General features: G+C 54.3%; 4 annotated features.

Moving 5' to 3' along the window:
- Positions 7,497–7,997: an enhancer, noted in NCBI's record as "H3K4me1 hESC enhancer chr21:46812138-46812638 (GRCh37/hg19 assembly coordinates)". NCBI's record gives its function as "activates a minimal SCP1, AML or CMV promoter by ChIP-STARR-seq in primed H9 embryonic stem cells {active_cell/tissue: H9 hESC(primed)}" and the evidence as "EXISTENCE:reporter gene assay evidence [ECO:0000049][PMID:30033119]".
- Positions 10,999–11,810: an enhancer, noted in NCBI's record as "H3K4me1 hESC enhancer chr21:46808325-46809136 (GRCh37/hg19 assembly coordinates)". NCBI's record gives its function as "activates a minimal SCP1, AML or CMV promoter by ChIP-STARR-seq in primed H9 embryonic stem cells {active_cell/tissue: H9 hESC(primed)}" and the evidence as "EXISTENCE:reporter gene assay evidence [ECO:0000049][PMID:30033119]".
- Positions 18,443–19,442: an enhancer, noted in NCBI's record as "H3K27ac-H3K4me1 hESC enhancer chr21:46800693-46801692 (GRCh37/hg19 assembly coordinates)". NCBI's record gives its function as "activates a minimal SCP1, AML or CMV promoter by ChIP-STARR-seq in naive H9 embryonic stem cells {active_cell/tissue: H9 hESC(naive)}" and the evidence as "EXISTENCE:reporter gene assay evidence [ECO:0000049][PMID:30033119]".
- Positions 19,443–20,443: an enhancer, noted in NCBI's record as "H3K27ac-H3K4me1 hESC enhancer chr21:46799692-46800692 (GRCh37/hg19 assembly coordinates)". NCBI's record gives its function as "activates a minimal SCP1, AML or CMV promoter by ChIP-STARR-seq in naive H9 embryonic stem cells {active_cell/tissue: H9 hESC(naive)}" and the evidence as "EXISTENCE:reporter gene assay evidence [ECO:0000049][PMID:30033119]".

Genomic DNA, 21,003 nt, shown 5'->3' with positions numbered 1-21,003 from the left:
ATCTATTAAATGTGGATGGTCTAGCCATACCAGTTAAAAGATAGATTGTCAGGTTGGATTTTATTTATTTTATTTTTATTTTTTTATTTTTTTGAGACAGAGTCGCGCTGTCTCCCAGGCTGGAGTGCAGTGGCGCCATCTCGGCTCACGGCAAGCTCTGCCTCCCGGGTTCACACCATTCTCCTGCCTCACCCTCCTGAGTAGCTGGGACTACAGGCGCTCACCACCATGCCTGGCTGATATTTTTGTATTTCTAGTAGAGACAGGATTTCACTGTGTTAGCCAGGATGGTTTTGATCTCCTGACCTCGTGATCTGCCCGCCTCCGCCTCCCAAAGTGCTGGGATTACAGGCGTGAGCCACCACGCCTGACCTGTCATATTGGATTTTAAAAAGCAGGATTCAACTATATCGTGGCTACAAGAAATGCACTTTGAATCTAAAGGCATATATAGAGTTAAACATAATACACCATTCAAGCACTAGTCAAAAGAAAGGTGGAGTCGCTGCTTCATCTCTGACAAATAGATTTCAACATCTACGTGGATGTAGATGTAGATCTAGAAGGAGCATCCACATGGATGATGAGGGACTTTGCATCATAATGAGGGTCAGGGCTCCAAGAAGACATCACAGTCATAAATGAGCATGTACCAAACAACAGGGCTTCAAACCCCATGAAGAAAAACCCATCGAACTGGAAAGAGAAATAGACAGATCCCCAGTTATGCTTTAAGACTTCATCTCTCTTCTCTCGGTAATTGTCAGACACATGGACAGAAAAATCAGTAATGATGCAGAGGGCATGAGCAACACTATCCAGCACCTAGAGCTGATTGATGTTCATAGAACACACCACCCAGCAACAGCTTAGAACATTCTTCTCAAATGTGCATGGACGTCACCAAGATAGACCATATCCTGGGCCATAAGATATATCTTAACAAATTTTTAAAAACACAAATCCTACAAAGTATGCTTTTAGGTCATAACAGAGTTAAGCAAGAAGTAAAAAATAGTTATCTGGAAAGTCCCAACATATTTTGAAATTTTAAACAACACATTTCTCAATAAATTGTATGACTCTTGGGAGACAATTAAAACTTTGTTTAGTTAATTGAAAATAACAGCATATCCAAATTTCTGGGGAAAAGCTAATGCAGCGCTTAATGGGAAATTTATAGCACTAAATGCGGAAAAGAAGGAGCACAAAGACACGACCTGAGCCTCCAACTGAAGAAGCCAGGAAAAAAGCAAATTAAGCACAAAGTAAACAGAAGAAAGGAAATAATAAATATCAGAACTGAAATTAATGAAAAATAGGAAGCAGACCAAAACAGTAGAGAAAAATTACTGAAGCCAAAAGCTGCTGTTTTTTTGTTTTGTTTTGTCTTCTGGAAATTCTGTCTGGACTGATTTTTTTTTTTTTGATGGAGTCTCACTCTGTTGCCCAGGCTGGAGTGCAATGGTGTGATCTCGGCTCACTGCAGCCTCCATCTCCTGGGTTCAAGTGATTCTCCTGCCTCAGCCTCCTGAGTAGCTGGGATTACAGGCATAAGCCACCACGCCCGGCTAATTTTTGTATTTTTAGTAGAGATGGGGTTTCACCATGTTGGACAGGCTGGCCTGGAACTGCTGACCTCAAGTGATGCACCCACCTTGGCCTCCCAAAGTGCTGAGATTACAGGTGTGAACCACCGCGCCTGGCCCAGACTGATTTTTTTTTAAAGGGTACTGACGTAAATTTCCAATATCAAGAATGAAAAAATAGAAGAAAGAAAGATCCTACAGATATTAAAAAGATGGGCCAGGCTCAGAGTCTCACGCCAGCAATACCAGAACTTTGGGAGGCCAAGGCGGGACGATTGTCTGAGCCCAGGAGTTCAAGGTTACAGAGAGCTATGATCACGCCACTGCACTCCAGCCAGGGTGACAGAGTGAGACCCTGTCTCTTAAAAAATAAAAAGGGTAATAAATGCTACTTATGAAAATAGAGAATTTATAAAATACCATTTGTGAACAATTTTAATTTTAAAAACTGAATAGCTCCATGTCTGTTGAATAAATTAAACTCAATTAAAAGCCATTTAGGAGGAAAACCCCTAGCCCAGATGTCTTCACTGGTAAATATTATAAAATATTTATTGAAGGAATAATTGCAAATTACAGAAGCTCTTTTAGAACACAGAGGAGAAAGGGAAACTTCCCAATTCATTTCGTGAGGCCTCTATTACTCTGATACCAGACAGAGACACTGCAAGAAAAGAAAACTGCAGATCAATATCCTGCAAAAATCCTTGACAAAATGTTAGCAAAGAAAACCCAGTACTGCAGAGAAAGGATCGTCACAATCCTGACCAGCAGGTACCATCTCAGGGATGCAAGGTTGGTTTAACATTCAAAAGTCAGTCAATATAATTCACTCTATTAGTAGAATAACTGAAAAAAGTCATGGGATCATCTCCCTACAAAAAATACACATCTACAGAAAAATAATATAGCAAAATTAAACGCCCATTCTTTAAAAAGTTCAGGAAGTTAGGAATAGAAGGGTATTTTCTCAGCCTGGTAAAGAGCATAATTTTATACTTAATATTGTAAAACGAAATCTTTCTCCCAAGGTAAGGAACAAAAGAAGGATGCTGCTTTCACCATTTCTATACAGTATTGCATGGGAGATCTTAGTTTAATTAGGCAAGAACAAGAAATAAAGGGGTACAGATTGGAAAAGAAGAAATAAAAAAGGACTAATCACACATGACATGATTGTCTGTAGGAAATCCTAAGGAGACTATACACAAACTTTTAGAATTAATAAGTGAGTTTAGCAAGGTTGCAGGACATAAGGGCAACACAGAACAACTGGCTGTGTTTCTATATACTAGCGATGAAAAATTAGAAATGAAACAAAAAGCAATACTTACCACAGCAGGGAATATGAAGACTCGGAAGATTCTTGATCAGAAGTTTCAATGTTGTGAAGATGTCAATTGTCCCTAAATTATGTATAAATACAACACAATTACAATCTACATGCTAGCAGCTTTTTGGTAACTATTAGCAAGCTGATTACAAACTCTGTATAAAAACACAAAGGAACAAGAATAGCCAAAACAAGGTTGAAAAAGGAAGAACGAGTTGGAGAATGCTACTCCCTGTCTTCAATATTTTATTATAAAGCTGCAGTCATCAAAATAGTGCAGTTTGCAAAAGGAAACAAATATAAACCAATACAACAGAATAGAATCCAGAAATAGATTCGTGTGTATATGATCAATTGATTTTCAGCAAAGGTGCCTCCTCTTCTCTGGCCCCTCTCCCCCTCTCCCATCAAGTGGCAGCTGGAATATGGGAGAGCAAGATCCATATGGATGGGTGAAACAACCCTGGCCTACGGTTCCATCTCTAGTTCAGCTCCAGAGGGGTCGGTGCAGCACGCATCAAGGAACATGCCCAGGAGCAGGTCACTGCACCCGGGCAACCGAAATCAAGGGTGCCCCCAGCAGATATTTCTAGTGCCTGCAAAGACCTGCAAATTTAGGTGCAATGCGCCCATCAGGGGTCACGTCCTGGGTAACATTCTGCCTTGATTAGATTTTCAGGGAAACATAGCTAGAAAGTTAAACCAGTATTAACTTGTCCATATTGATGAGAGAAGGTTACGTTAATCTTTTACTCATCTCCCAGAATCCGCTAAAAAGAACACAACGGATAACACCAGCTCTTGGAGGGGATAAGAACCGGGCGAAGCGTCCCCATGCTGCTGGTGGGAGCATAAATTGTACAGTCTCTTTGGAGAAGTGGCCTCTCTGATAAAGTGGAGCATGCATGCATCTGACAAGAAGTCCTCTCTTGGGAATGCGCCCCACCACACATGTTCTAAAAACACCTGTCCAGGAACCTTCACAGCAGCACCGTTCATCACAGTCTGAACCAGAAATAGCCCAGTGTCCCTCAGCAGTCAAATGGAGACGGTGGTTGTTTAACACAACGTGGTGACCTTCGGCAATGAGGAGGAAGGTGTGACAGCAGGGCTGAGCCTCACAAATGTCACGGTTGCGTGGGAGGAGACAGATGCCTAAGTGCACACAGTCGATGATCCCATGCACACAAAACCCTTACTGTTTAGTGGTCAGAAACATTCAAAGTGGGCTGGGGGGCAGTGGCTCACGCCTGTAATCCCAGCACTTTGGGAGGCCGAGATGGGCGGATTACTCGAGTCCAGGAGTTCGAGACCAGCCTGGCCAACGTGGTGAAACCCCATCTCTACTTAAAATACAAACATAAGCCAGGTGTAGTGGCACGTGCCTGTAATCCCAGCTACTCGGGAGGCTGAGGCGGGAGAATCGCTTGAACCTGGGAGGCAGAGGTTGCAGTGAGCCGAGATTGGGCCACTGTACTCCAACCTGGGCAACAGAGCAAGACCCTGTATCAAAACACACACACACACACACAACCCACCATTCAAAGTTATTCTTACAGATCATAGAAAAACTGATAAAATTTCATAAGAATAAACATTTGATACTTCTTGAGATCCTAGATGATGTGATCAGATAAGGAATGAATTTTCTGATTCGTCATACATCACACAGAGACTAGTCTCCCCTAGAAATACAGAGGCTCAGAATCCCATCACATTCAGAAATATAAAGATGGGTCAATATTAGGACATCAGCGACCACAAGTCACTGCTTTATCAGAACAGAAAGCCATGGGATGCATCAATAAATTCCAAGATGTTCAATAAAATTCAACACTTGATGATAAAAACTCTTTTGCTATGGGGCAAAGCATGCTTTCTTTTCTTCCTTTTCTTTTCTTTTTTGAGATAGGGTCTCACTGTCACCCAGGCTGGAGTGCGATGCTGTAATCATGGCTCACTGCAACCTTGAATTCCTGGGCCCAAGCAATCCTCTTGCCTCAGCCTCCTGAGTAGCTGGGACTACAGGCACGTGCCACCATGCCCAGCTAATTTTTGTATTTTTTGTAGAGATAGGGTTTCTCCATGCTGCCCAGGCTGGTCTTGAACTCCTGGGCTCGAGTGACCTGCCCACCTCAGCCTCCCAAAATGCTGGGATTATAGGTGTGAGCCACCGTGCCTGGCCAGCATGCATTCTTAACTTCATAAAAGTCATCTCCCAAATATTGAAAATAGATTGTGAAATATTTTGCATTCCTTTTAAAATCACCAAAAAGAAAATGATAAAATTTGATAAGAATAAACACTTGATACTTCTCGAGATCCTAGATGATGTGATCAGATAAGGAATGAGATGGAGAATAAGCATGTTGAGTTATTTGCAGATGACAGCGTTGTCCCTCTAGAAATTCCAAGAGAAATCAGTCAGAACTCTGCAAAGGTATCAGAATAAATAAAAGTTGGGGATGATGGGCATGGGCAAGGTGAACATCAAAACAAACCAATAGTTTTCTTATACATCAACAATAACTAATATAGTATGATAGAAAAAATGTCTTCACGATAGTCACGAAACATGAAATGCCCGCAGTGAGCCTTGAAAGGTGCGCAAACAACTTCATCAAAAGGATAAACTTCTACCAAGGGATTGGAAAGAGTCTCCATAAACGTGAGCGCCCCTTCGTTCCCTCAGTGAAGCCCAAGGGTGAAGAGCAGAGCTTTCGATGTTAGAAAGAGGATGGGACACCCAGTGGTCCCCAGGCCGGTCAGCTCAGGGCTCCATCTCGTCATCACCCTGCCTGTCCCCTGCTCTGCTCTCCGCCTGCTCCCTGGATCACAGTCCCCACGAAGCTCTTGCACTTAACCCTTTCCTCAGGCTCGAGTCTCCAGGGAACCCACCCAGGACATCCTCTAAATTCATAGATAGGGAGTTCACACCGAGGGGTGGTGAAGCGGGAGAGGCACACTCAGCTTCTGCAGCCGTCCTGCCTGGCCCATGTCCACTTGCCAGGGAGGACCTTGGCAGATGCTCGCCCCTCTGACCTCATGAGCTGGTTCTCATCTGAAAAATGGCAGTAATAACAGTGTTTGCCTCCTGAACCAGCTGGGGGGATCCAACCTGACAATCCACTGAACCTCAGAAATCGGACAGGAGCCGAGGTAGAGAGAGTGTAGGCCGGGGTCTGATCCCATTTCAGAGACCGGGTTCACAGAGAGGAGGCCATTTTCCCCAAGCCTGCATGGCCACAAGGGAAGAGCTGGGTTCGGAGGTAGACGGCCTAAGAGTGCCTGCTCAGCCCCCGACCCCACAGCCGACTGCGACCCAGGCTCAGCCCCCGGCCCCACAGCCGGCTGCCACCCAGGCTCAGCCCCCGGCCCCACAGCCGGCTGCCACCCAGGCTCAGCCCCCGGCCCCACAGCCGGCTGACACCCAGGCTCAGCCCCCGGCCCCACAGCCGGCTGCCACCCAGGCTCAGCCCCCGGCCCCACAGCCGGCTGACACCCAGGCTCAGCCCCCGGCCCCACAGCCGGCTGACACCCAGGCTCAGCCCCCGGCCCCACAGCCTGCTGTGTCCCTGCGGCTGCCATGCCAGCCCCACTCTGTCCTCTAGTGTGGAGGCTGCCCTTGTCCTCTCCCCAACACCTCTCTGTGCACCTTTGGTTGTGGGATTTGATCCTTAGGTTGCATGTTCTAGAAAGGCGTGTGGCGGTGGTTTTCTTGCAGTTTTTTCTTGTTTGGCATTTTGTGCAGGCTGCCTGGGGTCTGCGTGACTCCAGGTGTGATGTGGGGCATGTTTGATTGCAGGGTGTGGGTATAACTCAGCTCTGCTGTGTGCCCTCCTCAGTGGGGCATGCATGTCAACAAGAGAGGCTTCGGGAGAGTTCCAGGAACACCACCCCAGAGGGTCTCTACCGCAGGACCAGTCCTGTCACGCCCCCCTTGTCCCCTGCACCACTTCTCAGATGACACCGGCAAAGCGTGACAAAGCGTGACAGACAGCGCTGCTCTCCCCGACTGTCTTTCTCCTCCGGTGAGAGCCCACTCTGGTGGCCCCGGCGCAGGAGGCGTGCACACCATGCACACCGTGCTGGCCGTGTTGAGGTCTGGCTGTCAGAGGCCGTGAACCCCGGGAAGGATGACGCGCTCAAGGCATGAGGAGCGGGCGGGGACCCACCGTGCCCCTGCGGGCCTGCTGCAGGCGGGCGGCCTCGTGCCGGGAGCAATGCCCTGGCAAGCATGCGAGTAAGGACTCAGCCATGGGGCCCAGGCACTGCACCTTTTTGCAACTTACTCTTGGCTCTGTGAGCCATATCCAGGGGATTTCATGGGCTTCTCTCCCCACACTGTGACTGGAAACCAACACAGCTCCTTTTCCTGTTCCTCTAGGCAAGACAAAGCCCAGCTCACTGTGAGCGTGAGGGTGACCCAGCGGCCAGGCGGCCTCCTTCCCACGGCAGTGGCTCCTCACCCATGGGCCCCATGACACCCCCTCTGCCCACAGGCCCAGCAGCCCCCACCTGGACGCAGGGGCTCTGCCTCCTCGGAGGCGGCTCAGACCAGGCCTCCGACTTCAGGGCCTCCAACCATTAAGGACCGGGGAGTCAGCACTTCTGGGAGCCATTTGTGGAGCAGCTGTGGGGGTGCCGCAGGCTTTGTAGCCTCAGCCGTAGGGAGTGGCGCCTGTGGCTCAGGCCTTTTCCGGAGACCCCCACTGAGTTTCCGCCCGGCTCAGAGCTCGAGGCCTGACTCCAGGACTCGCCGGGTTTGTGACTTCGGGAACATTCCTCAGCCTCTCTGTGACTCTGTTTCCTCATCTGTGAAAAGGGGAACGAAAGACTCTCTCATCCTGGGGCCCTGGAAAGGTTACAATTTACAAGACCGACTGTAGCAAGAGTCGTCAAAGGTGTGGAGCAGCTAGAACTCCCGGCCCTGAGTGCGGAAACTCAGGGAACTCCCAGCACCGACTGGAAACTCAGGGAAGGCCACTCACTTCCGCAGTAGGACGACCCTTCTGAAAAACAGTTTTGCCGCTTGCTAAAAAGTTAAACACACACCTGTCTCGTGATCCAGATATTCAGGTCCTCAGTCATCCGCATCAAGACCTGAAGCCACATGTTCATAGCGGCCTTGTTTGTGAGGGCTGCAAACTGGAGGCAAAGCAAGCTCCTGTCAGGAGGCGAGTGTATCAGCCAGCCCGGAGCTCCTCTCCCACGGAGGGCACTCAGGAGTAGAACGCAGTGAACTCAGTGTGGGCCACAACACAGGCAAACAGCACAGAGCTTGTGCCAAGGAAAAGAAGCCAGACCAAAAGGTGTGAACTGCAGGATTGTGTTCACGTAAGATTCCAGCAAATGCAAACCAACCTATGTGACAGAAAATAGATCAATGGTTGCCTGGGGTCGGGACTGGGAGTGGCTGTGGAGGACAGGACAGAGGACACAAGGAACCCTGAGAAGTGGGTCTGTTCACTGCCTGTATGGTGGCAGTGGATTCGTGGGTACACACAGATGTCAACTCATGTCAAATGGACACTGATGTGCAGCTTGTTGTATGCCAATTCTCTGTCAATAAACATGATTCATGACAGTTCAAGCACTAGTTAGTTCAGTCTGCACCCTCGGGTGGGGGTTTCCCTGGCCGGGTATGCGTGGTACAGTAGTAGGTAGCCAGGTGATGTGGCTTGGCTGTGTCCCCACCCGAATCTCATCTTGGCCGGGTATGCGTGGTACAGTAGTAGGTAGCCAGGTGATGTGGTTTGTCCCCACCCGAATCTCATCTCGAATTGTGCCTCCCATAATCCCCGCATGTTGTGGGAGGGACCCGGTGGGAGGTAACTGAACCATAAAGGCATGTTTTTCCCGTGCATCCTCTGGGTCCCCGTCTCCACGCACCCTGCCCGTGCCACCAGGGACCACCTCCTTGCCTGGGAGCCTGGCCTCAGACTCAGCTTGTGGACAGTGGTGTGTTTCGGATGGTTTTTATGTTATTCTGTAAACCACGCAAACACATCACACACACACTTGTGGATGCGTGGTGTATCTTACGGTAAGCAAAGTCAATAAAAAACCTTAAGACCAGGACTACAAATGTGGATGAATTTTTACGATGAAGTTGAGCTTTCTGGGGATGTTCTCAGTGAAGAGGCTCGTCCAGACCCAACTCCCCTGCTCTGCCTTCAGGTGCCGGTGAAGGGGACACGTGGCGTTTCTGGCCCCTCAACTTGTGGGAGGAGGCCTGGGGGTGCTGGGAGGGCCGGGGTGGGAAGAGCTAGGACTGTCACGTCCAGGATGCAGGTGAAGGGGCTGGGGGGCGAGCCTGGGAAGGCAGTGGTCGTGGGGGCCTCACGCTGCAGCCCCACCCACCCAGCCCCTCTCCTCTCCGTCCTGCCCTCCCCACGGTGGTCCCCCTCTTCCCTCTGAGCTCCTGTCCTGCCCCCGCCCCCGCCATCTGCCTCCCCTTTTCCTGTCTCCTGTCTGGCTCTTCTCTCCACCTTCGCCTCCCTCAAGGGGTTTCTGTAAATGAAGGAAAAGGGAAAGATCCAGGGTGTTGCCCGGCCCCGTGAGGGGAGGCAGAGGCCAGCGTGCCCTTTGCCCAGCCCTGCAGGACACCCGGCCTTGGGACAGCCTCGCAGCCGACTCCCGCTGCCACGGGCCGGCGGTTCTGGAAGTCTTCTGAGCTTGCCACTGGCTCTCCCTGCCCACCTTAGAGCCACACGGAGCCCTCTGTGTGCTGCTGCAAGTCGGCGCAGAGATCCCCGGGCAGCAGCCTTCAGCCTTGACTCACTCAGGGCACGGTAAAAAGGCAGCCTCCCCAACCAGCTGCCAGCCCGAAGTCACCTGCTGCGGGCTGTGGAATGAGTGGAGGGGACCTGGCCAGCCCACCCGGGGGGCACAGGTGGGCAGGGTTTGGAAGGCCTCTGCAGGCAGAGCCCCTCTGTGTCCTCCCACCTTGCTGTCTGGGATGTGGGCCAGGCCCCTGGTGCTGGTGAACAGAAGCACTGGGCCCCCACTGGCGAGACCCGGGGCAGGAACCAGCGGCCGAGTTCGTTACCTGTTGTGGTTTCGGTGAGGTGAGTGCTCAGCAGGAAGAGACGCAGGCAGTTCTTGGAGAATCCTGGTGTCAGGCCTGTCCCTTACGGCGAAGCCCCTGGAGAAGGTGGGCGTCTCCCCAGCATGGCCAGGCAGGGACAGGGGTTGGGGGACGTCCAACCAAAATCCCAAAAAGGTGTTCCGTGAGAATTGATGTGATTATTCTAAAATGCATATGGAAGACTAAAAAAACAGGAATAGCTAGGACACTTCTGAAGAGGAAGGGAGATTTTTCCACCGCATGTTGGGATTGTTAAGAAATTATAGCAGTGGAAGTGATGTGAGATTTTTGCCTGGAAAAACAGACGGGCACCAGGATTGGACAGAGAACTCAGGAACAAATTTTTGTGTGGGTGGAACCAATGGCTTTGCAGGTTGGTGGAAACAGGGGAAACCTATCAATCAGTAGAGCTAGAAAAAAATAGTTGTCCATATGGAAAAAGATGAAAGTAACTCCCAGTGGATTAAGGATTTAAATGTCAAAAACAAAACCGTAAATTCTAGTTAGAAAATGTGGCCGGGCACAGTGGCTCACACCTGTAATCCCAGCACTTTGGGAGGTTGAGGTGGGTGGATCACGAGGTCGGGAGATCGAGACCATCCTGGCTAACACAGTGAAACCCCGTCTCTACAAAAAATACAAAAATTAGCTGGACGTGTTGGCAGGTCCCTGTAGTCTCAGCTACTCGTGAGGCTGAGGCAAGAGTATCACTTGAACCTGGGAGGTGGAGCTTGCAGTGGGTCAAAATCGCACCACTGCACTACAGCCTGGGTGACAGAGTGAGACTCAGTCTCAAAAAAAAAAAAAAAAAAAAAGAGAAGAAAAAAATGGTAAGTGGCTCTCTTTTAGAGGGTGTGTTTGGAAAAGATTTCAAAAACATGACACACAAAGAAGCAGAGGGCATAGTCAGAATTGATACTCTGTGAAGACTTTAAAAAGGAGATGATTTACAAAGGCAAAGGCAGGGTTTGTGGAACTCAACACAGGACGTACAGTGCCCAGGGCTACTAACTCATTTATTAGAGTCCGAGAGGGTGCTCCAGCAGGGTGAGCCTACAGTAGTGGTCCAGTGGGGGTGAGCCTACAGGAGTGGTTCAGCAGGGCGAGGCTACAGGAGTGGCCGTGCTCAGTGGAGGACTCACTTGTTTATTAGAGTCCGAGAGCGAGCTCCAGTGGGGTGAGCCTACAGGAGTGGCCGTGCTCAGTGGAGGACTCACTTGTTTATTAGAGTCCGAGAGCGAGCTCCAGTGGGGTGAGCCTACAGGAGTGGCCGTGCTCAGTGGAGGACTCACTTGTTTATTAGGATCCGAGAGCGAGCTGCAGCGGGGTAAGCCTACAGGAGTGGCTGTGCTCAGTGGAGGACTCAACCACTACAGCGATCGGCAGGGAGAAACCCAGGGGAGTCCATTCCCCCGACCTCGCCCTGCGCCCTGGCCCTGCCTTCCTGCTGGGGCCTCCCTGTGGATGAACCTGGGGACTGTGGGGAGTGCAGCTTATGGGCCTGAGGGTGGGGAGGAGTGGCTGCCCACTCCCCATGTTCCCTAGTCTGAGGGGTTTCCTTCCTGAGGGGCTCCTGGGCTTCAACACGGCCTTTGCTCCCTACAACCTGTGAGGCCAGCAGGGTGGCTTACAGGGCTGGTTTCTATGCTCCAGTGTGGACCACGGCTTCCTCCCACCCCAAGCAAGCCTGCCTGTCCTCTTCTGGCCACCCTGGGAAGGGCTGCAGTGTCCAAAATAGCTTCAGAATTCCTTAGAGCCAGAGAATGCAGGGCTTCGGACAACAAAGACCTCTGGGGACAGGGCAGATGTCCCTGAGCCTGGATTCCTGCCTCTGACGTGACCTCCGACTTGGGATTCCCAAGACAAGGGTCAGTGTGGGATGATCCTTTTAAGGGAAGTGTCCCCCTTGGGGTCAGTGAAGTCGCTCCTGTGGTGGGGAGTGCTGTGGTGTAGATCAGGCTCGCCCAGCAGTCCCTCCAGTGGAGGCTGAGAGGCCTTCCCTCTTCTCCCAGGACCAGGGACAGTGTCCAGTGGACATGGAGAGAGCAGGAGGGGCGGGAGTGGCTTCCAGCTCCTGGCAGGGACCATGGCCAGCCCCATCCCCATCTCCAGCCTGGGCCTGGGCTGCTTGCCCATCGGTTGGGTTCATGAGGGCTCAGAGCCCCTGAAGTTTTCAAACACATCCTGATTCCCAAGAGCCGTGATTTGCTGTGTGACCTCGTTCTCCCGGCACATGAGAGGCATTAAAGTTCACGTCTTTCATTTCCTTTCATGCTCAGTTTGCCTCTGGTGAGCAGGGGCTGATTTTTGCTGTAGAACCTTCCAGCACAGACAGGGAGCCCATACACATGGGCTTGGAGCCCCATGAGGCTGCCATCACATGCCAGTCAGGGTTGTTAGTGTTGAGGTGAGAACACGCTTACGAACACACACATGAACACACACTCACATACTCCCACATTCACACACTCACGCACACACAAACGAGACACCAAAGCATGGCTCGTTCTGCCCCCGCCCAGACACCGTGTCAGGAAACTCACGTCTCATTGCTGTGACGCTGTGACGTCCACCAATGACCGTGGAGGTGCCCTGAGTATTGAATCTGGGTTAGGGTAAATGCTAGTAAGTAGGCAAATTTGCCCATGAATAATGAGGCTCGACTGTGTTTTACTTGAAGAAACACGTAGGAGCTAGAAGTAAATGGAACAGCATTCAGGAAGGCAACGCTGTTTTTCCTGAACTCACACAACATCAGGGTCCCAGGGTCCCCGCACCCCGGCTGCCAGGCCTGGCAGTTCTGGGCTGAGCAGTGCGTCTCTGAAGCGTCCCTGTGATGCGGCTTCTGCTGGTCTGGGTTCTACACTGAGAGAACCTGCTCTCATCGAATGGGTGCCTCAGGTCAGGCTCTGCAGAGAGCCAGCTGGGGACCTGCCTTGTGTGTGAGAGCTGCATGGAAGCTCCTGGCACAGCCCCGTGGCAGGAAGGGAGCGATGCAGGAAGCCCAGGGCCGTCTCTGCAGGCTGCAGCTTCTTCCAGGACAGCCTCTTCCTGCAAGTTTCAAAGTCAGTTTCTGTGCACATGAAACCGGAGTCAATGAGGCTGAGTTCCAGCACAACCAAGCTGCCCCCGTGAGGCTGCCTGATACCCAGATGTGTGTGTTTAAAAGAGACATAAGGCAAGATTTGTCACGGGATGAATCATCTTCCATGCTCCTAGGGGCAGCTAATTTTAAAGTAGCCAGGACTGTTTCAAGGTCACGGTGACCCTCGTGGGCTGTGTTATTGCAAAGTCAAACCGGAGAGAGCGTGAGAGCGTGTCCGGGACAGAGTGGATCTGTGGATGCTCCTGACTTTGAGAACGTGTCCGGGACAGAGTGGACCTGTGGATGCTCCTGACTTTTTGCACAGATGACGTCAATGTTTAGGCTTCCCTCCCGACGTTAGTGTCCACCTCAGCATCTTTCACTTGCAGAGCACGTAATGGAGCTGCAACCTAGAAACAAGGAGGTTGAGGTTCCTCGAGGTTCCAGTAAAAGTGCTCCTGAGAGCAGCTCAGGTGTGTATGTCCCCAGCCCTGGCTGGCCGGACACAGCCGGTGGGACAGGAGCCCGGCAGGTATGGGCCAGCTCAGGCCCAGCCGCTGCCTGCCTGGAAGCTGTGTGGCCTCCCCTGTCTGCCTGGGCTGGCCAGGAGCTCACATGGAAAGGGATGCACCTGACCCTGCAGTGCCGGTTCCCAGGGCAGTTGGGCGACACGCAGTGAGCTGCACCCTGGATTCCTCACATAGCTCAGGAGCCTCGGCGTGTGGCTCTGCAGAACCAGGGCCCCTGGAGCACACTTACCCGCAGTTTAAACTGCTCCTGCTGCTGGGGGGCTGGCCCTCTCCCACCCTGGGGTCGGCCGTCAGAGCCCTCCACAAGGAGGGAAGCAGGTACTGATGACATCTGGGGGAAAGATGGACTTTGGGGGTCGGCCCTCAGAGCCCTCCACAGGGAGGGAAGCAGGCACTGATGACATCTGGGGGAAAGATGGACTTTGGGGGTCGGCCGTCAGAGCCCTCCACAAGGAGGGAAGCAGGCACTGATGACATCTGGGGGAAAGATGGACTTTGGGGGTCGGCCCTCAGAGCCCTCCACAGGGAGGGAAGCAGGCACTGATGACATCTGGGGGAAAGATGCGGACATCTGGGGGAAATATCATGCAGAAAGTGGCATTCGTCTGCCTCGGAGTTGGCGTGGCTGGGTGGCGTGTTTCCCATGTCCCAGCCAGTGCGACTCAGCCCTCCCTCCGGCGAGGCACGCAGGCCTAGCACGCTGCCCGTGCGGCTCACGGAGAGGCAGCCACGTGTGGTGGAATCAGTCCACAGGCCTCTCGAGAGCCACGTCCACCAGCCTAGGACCCTCACTCGGCCTCAAGGCACTGCTAAAGGCCAAGGAGGGGTCAAGCCTGCTCTTCTGATCTAGACTGGCCTCCCCCGACCAGGAACACCTGCCTAAAAGCACCCCCTCACCAACAGGGAGGGCCCTGCCTGCGAGCGGCATGAAGTCAGGGTCTCCCCTGTTCCTCCCACACTTCTTCCCCACCCAGGCTCCCGCACTCCCTTGGGCAGGGGTGCTGGGCTGGGTGGATCTGCCCAGCTTCTGCCCTGCTCCACTCCCCCTCACTACCTCCCTCTCTAGCTCCTTCTGCATCTCCCCAACGCATCTCATCGCCACCCTCACCTCCACCTCCCTCCCTCGGCCTGTCTCTTTCTTCTTTATCAAGCCACGAGTGGCCTCAGATGCGGTTACAAACCTACTGGGGCTGGCAGGCCATGGAGACGGTCTATGACGCCAACCCCAGGTGCACACAGGGGAGCTGAGGTCCTGCCACCATGACTTGGCCATGGTCACAAAATCCCCGAAGGAATAGAGGGAATAGAGCAGAGGTCAGCTTCTGACCCCCAGAATGACTCCTGCGGCCGCCTCCTTGGCTCTGGCAGTGGAGAGAAGGGGCTCCAGAGTGGGTGGGAGGTTCTGGTGGAAGGCTTTGGTGAGAGAATGCAGATGGGGCCAGATGTGCGTCCTGCAGGAGCTGGAGCTGCTGGAGCTGGGTGGATGGGAAGCACGCCTGCCCCAGCCACACAGCCCGACCTAGCGCACGGCTCCAGGGAGGCAGGGCTCCTCCAGGCCACTGAAGGGTGCCCTGGAATATAAGGGGCACTTTCCCCTCCTTTATGGAGGCTTCCGTGCCTCAGAACATAAGTTTTCTTTTGTCATTACTGAGAAAGCTCATTTTGTTATGGGAAAAATGAAACCAGAGAATTTGTTCAACCAGGAGCTGTGGGCAGATAAACAAAAACACACACCAGCCGGTTCTAGGCAGTGGGACGGCGCCGCGCCTCCCCGAGACCCCAGTCAGGGCGGCACACACATCTGCACCTGCTGTTCATCAACAGTGACAGGCATGTCCAGGCCGAGCACACCAAGGTCAGGGAGGGCCTCTGGACCCACTTTCTTCACCACGCGGCATTCCTGGCCTTCCGGTATTGACGTCGTAACTGCGTTTCTATTGGCACCACTTTTAACTGAGTTATAGAAAATCAGACACTTCTGTCTCAGGAGACAGATTTCCGACCACTATTTTTATTTTATTTTATTATTTCACCTAGAAATTTTGCCAGCTGGGTACGGTGGCTAACGTCTATAATCCCAGCACTTTGGGAGGCTAAGGAGGGGGGATCACTTGAGGCTGGGAGTTCGAGACTAACCTGACCAACATGGCGAAACCCCGTCTCTACTAAGAATACAAAAAATTTAGCTGGGCGTGGTGGCACGTGCCTGTAATCCCAGCTACTTGGGAGGCGGAGGTGGGAGAATCACTTGAACCCGGGAGGCGGAGGTTGCAGGGAGCCAAGATCGCACCACTGCACTCCAGCCTGGGCGAAAGAGCAAGACTCCGTCTCAAAAATAAAAATAAATGTCCTCTTCAGCATGAATGTAGCTGTTTTGATGCTTGTGGCTTCGGTCATGCACAGGGCACAGGCTCCACCGCATCTGACCACCCCCCGGCCCTGCCCCCAGGCTCTGCGAGGACGTGGTCATCACGGACGAGGCCTCAGGTCACAGCACAGCCCGGCACGGCCATGCCACCGCCGCGGCGCTGAGTCCCGTCCTGTGCAGGGAGCCTCAATGGGCTGGCGGCTGGGAGATTCCCTCTCTTCTTAAAGCAAAGAGCCACTTGGCCGAGGTGCTCAGCCCTGGCTGCAGGGAGGAAAATCACCTGGGAGCAGAAAACCCGAGGAAGTTGAGCCCCACCTGCAGGGCAGGCAGGTCCAGACCTTGGGCGGTGGGGCTGGCTTTGAGCAGGGGCAGGCCCCTGGGGGTGCCGCTGTGCAGCCGGGAAGAGGGTGTGAGGCCCAGAGAGTGTTTGCTGCTCTGCAGGCACGTCCCAGTGTCTCACCCCAGAGGCCATCGGGACCCGCGGATTCCCTCAGGGAGGGCGCCTGGCCTGGCTGTGGCACCGGAGGAAGTGCAGCCCCGGTAGGTGAAGGGACTGTGTCCACATCTGGAGCTTTGCTGCTGCCACCATCATCCTCAGATGACATGGCCCGACTCTGGGGCTCACAGTGCCCCTGTTTTCACAGCCATTTAATTCCTTAGGCCCAGTCCTGGAAGGACGGATGTGCAGCCTCTGGGCCCCAAGGGGAACTTGTGTCCTTTTCCACCGAGTGACCAGCCCAGTGCTTCAGCCGACCCCACCGCAGGGGCCAGGGGGAGGGGGCTCCCACGCTGTGCGGTGCCCAGTGGAGGGCCAAAGCCCCACACCTCTGCAAAGGGCAGATAAAGCCAGGATCAGCTTTAGCAGGGACAGGATTCCTGCAGCAGAGAGGAGTGGATGTGGCCCGTGGTCGGTGACCCCTCCTGGAGGAAGACTGTGACTGGCAACAGGCAGGTGCAATCACCAGATAATTGACCGACAGCTTCTCCACCCAGTGCTTTCTCCATGGGCAGCCCCTCCCTGAGCTCCCTTTCAGAGGCTCCTCCCCACCACCCAAGGGAGCCCCGCACAGCCCAGCCTGACAGCTGAGCCCAGCCATCCTCCTCTCCCGTCTCCTTTCCCATTCTGTGGACTTCCTGGGGTTGCTGTGACAAATGGCCACAGCCTTGGTGATTTTAAACAACGGAAACGCATGCTCACGGTCTGGAGGGCAGGAGTCTGAAACCAGCATCACTAGGCCAAGGGGCCCCTCTGAGGCCCTGGAGAAGGTCCTGCTGGCTTCTCTTGGCTCCCAGCGGCCGTGCACTCCTTGGCTTGCGGCCACATCGCTCTGACCTTCGTGGACAGCCTCTTCATGGTGCTCTCTGCCTCCGTGGTCCATGGTTTCCTCCATGTCAAGTCTCCGTCTTGTGCGAACCTTGCAATGCCACCTGGGGCCCACCCGGATGACCCCAGTTGATCACCCCCATCCCGGGATCCTAACTCAATCCCATCCCCAAAGACACATTTGCCACATAAGGTCACATTCAAGCACCACAGGGATTGAGACCTGGCGTATTTGGGGACCATTTTCCAGCTGACCATGCTGTTTACACCTGAGCTGAACCCGCAGGCTGCTCCCTACCAGGCACTGGCCTCCTGCCCATCCCTGGCTGCAAGGGCAGAGGCTCCTGAGAGACCTGTTTCCTTCTTCCTCCTCAGCCAGTGCCTGCCTTCATGGAGCTTTGCAGGTGTGTCTTCTGGTGGAGAAGACGCTGCCCCCTTATTCTTCGCCCCTTCTCTGAAAACCAAGAAAACCAAGAAAGGGCCGACTGGGATGGCAGCTGTCCACACAGATCCCGGGAACTTGAAGACACAGTCAGGCGCCCACCAAAGGCTCTGGGCTCCTTGTCACGGTGCACTGGCATCCACTGCTTGGCAGCGATCAGCCCCTTGCTCTGTCTTCCTCAGTCTATGCGTGTGTGGCCGTGGTCGAACGGCCCACGCAGCCATGACACGGAACATCCATGACCTGCCTTGGTGACAGCTTGGGGGCAGCGGGCCAGGAGCCAGAGAGCAGGATCTGGGTCGTCTCCCTGCTCCAAGAACCGGATATGCTGAGAAGACACAGACGCGCCACCCAGGTCCTGGGGCAGGCGCTTTGTGGGGTGGGTTCCCTGAGACTGGAAAGGAAGTGTCTGGAAGTCACCGGACACTCAGCATCTGAACCAAACCCTGGGGCCACAGCAGCGTGAGGGGGCAGCTGCACAGAGATAGCTTCGGCCTCGCTCCCCACTGGCCCCTAAAGCACCCACCCACCACCTTTCGGCCTGGACAGGACTCCGACCAGTTCCTCTCTGGGCGGACTTTGGCTGTCTCTGATTTCGGGGTGAAGCTCTCTGTACACAGTTGCTTCTTTGTGCTTTAGCCTTTCCCCATCTGCGTGCTGGGGTGAACACCAGGTGTCTCTCTGGCTAAGTGGCTCCTGGGCCTCTGCTGCTGGTTTTATGTGCTGGGCCTTGTTGGGCTCCTCTGGGTGCTTGGTCACTGCTCCTAGACAGCCCAGCACCTGCCCCTGCGGCTGCCTTGGCTGTGGCCTCCATGCCTGGCGCTCAGCGATCCTGCCTTGGCTGTGGCCCCCATGCCTGGCGCTCAGCGATCCTGTACCCACAGGAGCTGGGCTTTCCAGAGCCACTTCCAGAACAGCAGCCGGGTGGGCTTTGCCTCAGCAGTGGCCAGCTCAGGTAGCCAGACATGGGCCAGGCGACCTCGCGAGGGTGAACCAGACCTAGACGCTGGGCTTGGGAGGGGGCAGTGGTGAGCGGCACCCCTCTCTCCTCCCCTGGAGGCTGCTTCAGTCCAGGTCTCCAAGTGTCCGAGCGTCTTGCGTGAGCCGAGGTGGGCCGGGCAACACATCCCCTTCCCTTTCTGCTATCTGTGCAGGGCCGGTCTCTGTGGTTATTCCAGCCCATGCCTCCCTCTTCCCCAGCGCACTCCCAGTAAAGCGCCACACACAGGCCTTGCCTGGGGGTGCTGGGAACCCTGCTGAGATGGCAGAGGTGGGTGCCCAAGAGGAACGGGAGCTGGACGGATGTGTCGGGGGAGAGTGGAGTGGGAGGGAGGTGGAAGCATCGGGCTTCAAGGAGTTTGGGGCCACAAAATCATGTTCCTGAAAACAGATAGAAGGGATCGGCTTGTCTTGGCCACTTTCATCCTTTTTTCTTGTTTCTGTCAAATATATTCCTCGGATTGCGGGGGCCTTGGTGTTTAGAGAGAGGAATGGACGCAGAGTGTCCTTGCTTCCCTGCCTGGATGCCGCCTCCACGGGAGGTGCGGGAGGTGAGCGTGTGTGCACCGACGGACGCTGGGTGCGAGGGGAGTGTGTGTGAGGTGAGCGTGTGTGCACGGACAGATGCTGGGTGCGAGGTGAGGGTGTGTGCACAGATGGATGCTGGGTGCAAGGTGAGTATGTGCATGGACGGACGCTAGGTGCGAGGGGAGTGTGTGCATGGACAGATGCTGGGTGCGAGGTGAGCGTGTGCACGGATGCTGGGTGCGAGGGGAGCGTGTGTGCACAGATGGATGCTGGGTGTGAGGTAAGCGTGTGCACGGACAGACGCTCGGTGCGAGGGGAGCATGTGTGCACAGACGGACGCTGGGTACGAGGTGAGCGTGTGCACGGACGGACGCTGGGTGCGAGGTGAGCGTGTGCACGGACGGACGCTGGGTGCGAGGTGAGCGTGTGTGCACGGACGGACGCTGGGTGCGAGGTGAGCGTGTGTGCACGGACGGACGCTGGGTGCGAGGTGAGCGTGTGTGCACGGACGGACGCTGGGTGCGAGGTGAGCGTGTGCACGGACGGACGCTGGGTGCGAGGTGAGCGTGTGTGCACGGACGGACGCTGGGTGCGAGGTGAGCGTGTGTGCACGGACGGACGCTGGGTGCGAGGTGAGCGTGTGTGCACGGACGGACGCTGGGTGCGAGGTGAGCGTGTGTGCACGGACGGACGCTGGGTGCGAGGTGAGCCTGTGTGCATGGATGGACGCTGGTTGCGAGGTGAGTGTGTGTGCATGGACACTGGGTGCGAGGTGAGCGTGTGTGCACGGACGGATGCTGGGTGCGAAGTGAGCGTGTGTGCACGGACCAACGCTGGGTGAGAGATGAGCGTGTGTGCATGGATGGACTCTGGGTGCAAGGTGAGTGTGTGCACGGACGGACTCTGGGTGCGAGGTGAGCGTGTGTGCATGGACGGACGCTGGGTGTAAGGTGGGGGTAGATGACAGATAGATACAGATAAACACGGGAGAGGCTGGGTCACGGTGAGGCCGGAAATTATTCATCAGCAGGAGCTTCTGTTCTGGGATGGGCACCACGGCGCTGACATTAACTGGCCAGAAGGCTGAATCAAGACAGAGGAAATGGAAGAGGAAGGGGTGTCTTCCCCGTGATAGCATTCACCACCTGTGCTGAGATTGGGACATTCGAGCCTCCGTTGATAAGTGGCTCTGGAGCCAGCTCACCTGGGCTCACCGGGGCTCAAACCCTGGCTTCCCATCCACCAGTGGGGTGTTGATGGCTGAGGCATTTGACCACCCCGTGCCTCAGTTTTCTTACCTCCCTTAGGGATCTGTCAGCATGAAGGTGGGGATGGATGTCCAAGGCTGTGAATGTGGCTCCTGGGGGCGGGCCCAGCAGATGCCAGAATCAAGGCAGAGGTGAGGGGTTGGCTCAGGTCTTTTGGATCTGAGGGGCTCAGGGAGGTGCAATCAGGGAAATCAAGTCAGCCCCTGGACAGAGGAGTTCAGAGAAGGAGCAGGGACAGCACCCCGGATGGGGAGGGCGTGCGCTGTGACCAGGGAGCAGCAGAGACAAAGGTGCAAACCAAGCCTGATACCCAGGGGGCTGGGGAGGAGGTTCCGAGGAGAGTGGGACGGGTTCCTGTGGCTGGCTCGGGGCCACCGTGGCCCTGATGGGAGCGGCTCTGGACAATGATGAGAAGGAATCAGGCGGCTCGGGGCCACCTTGGCCCTG

This window comes from Homo sapiens, chromosome 21, assembly GCF_000001405.40.
Source record: "Homo sapiens chromosome 21, GRCh38.p14 Primary Assembly".
Lineage (NCBI taxonomy): Eukaryota > Metazoa > Chordata > Mammalia > Primates > Hominidae > Homo > Homo sapiens.
Note: the sequence above shows the minus strand (reverse complement) of the source record. Positions and strands in the feature narration are given on the sequence as shown.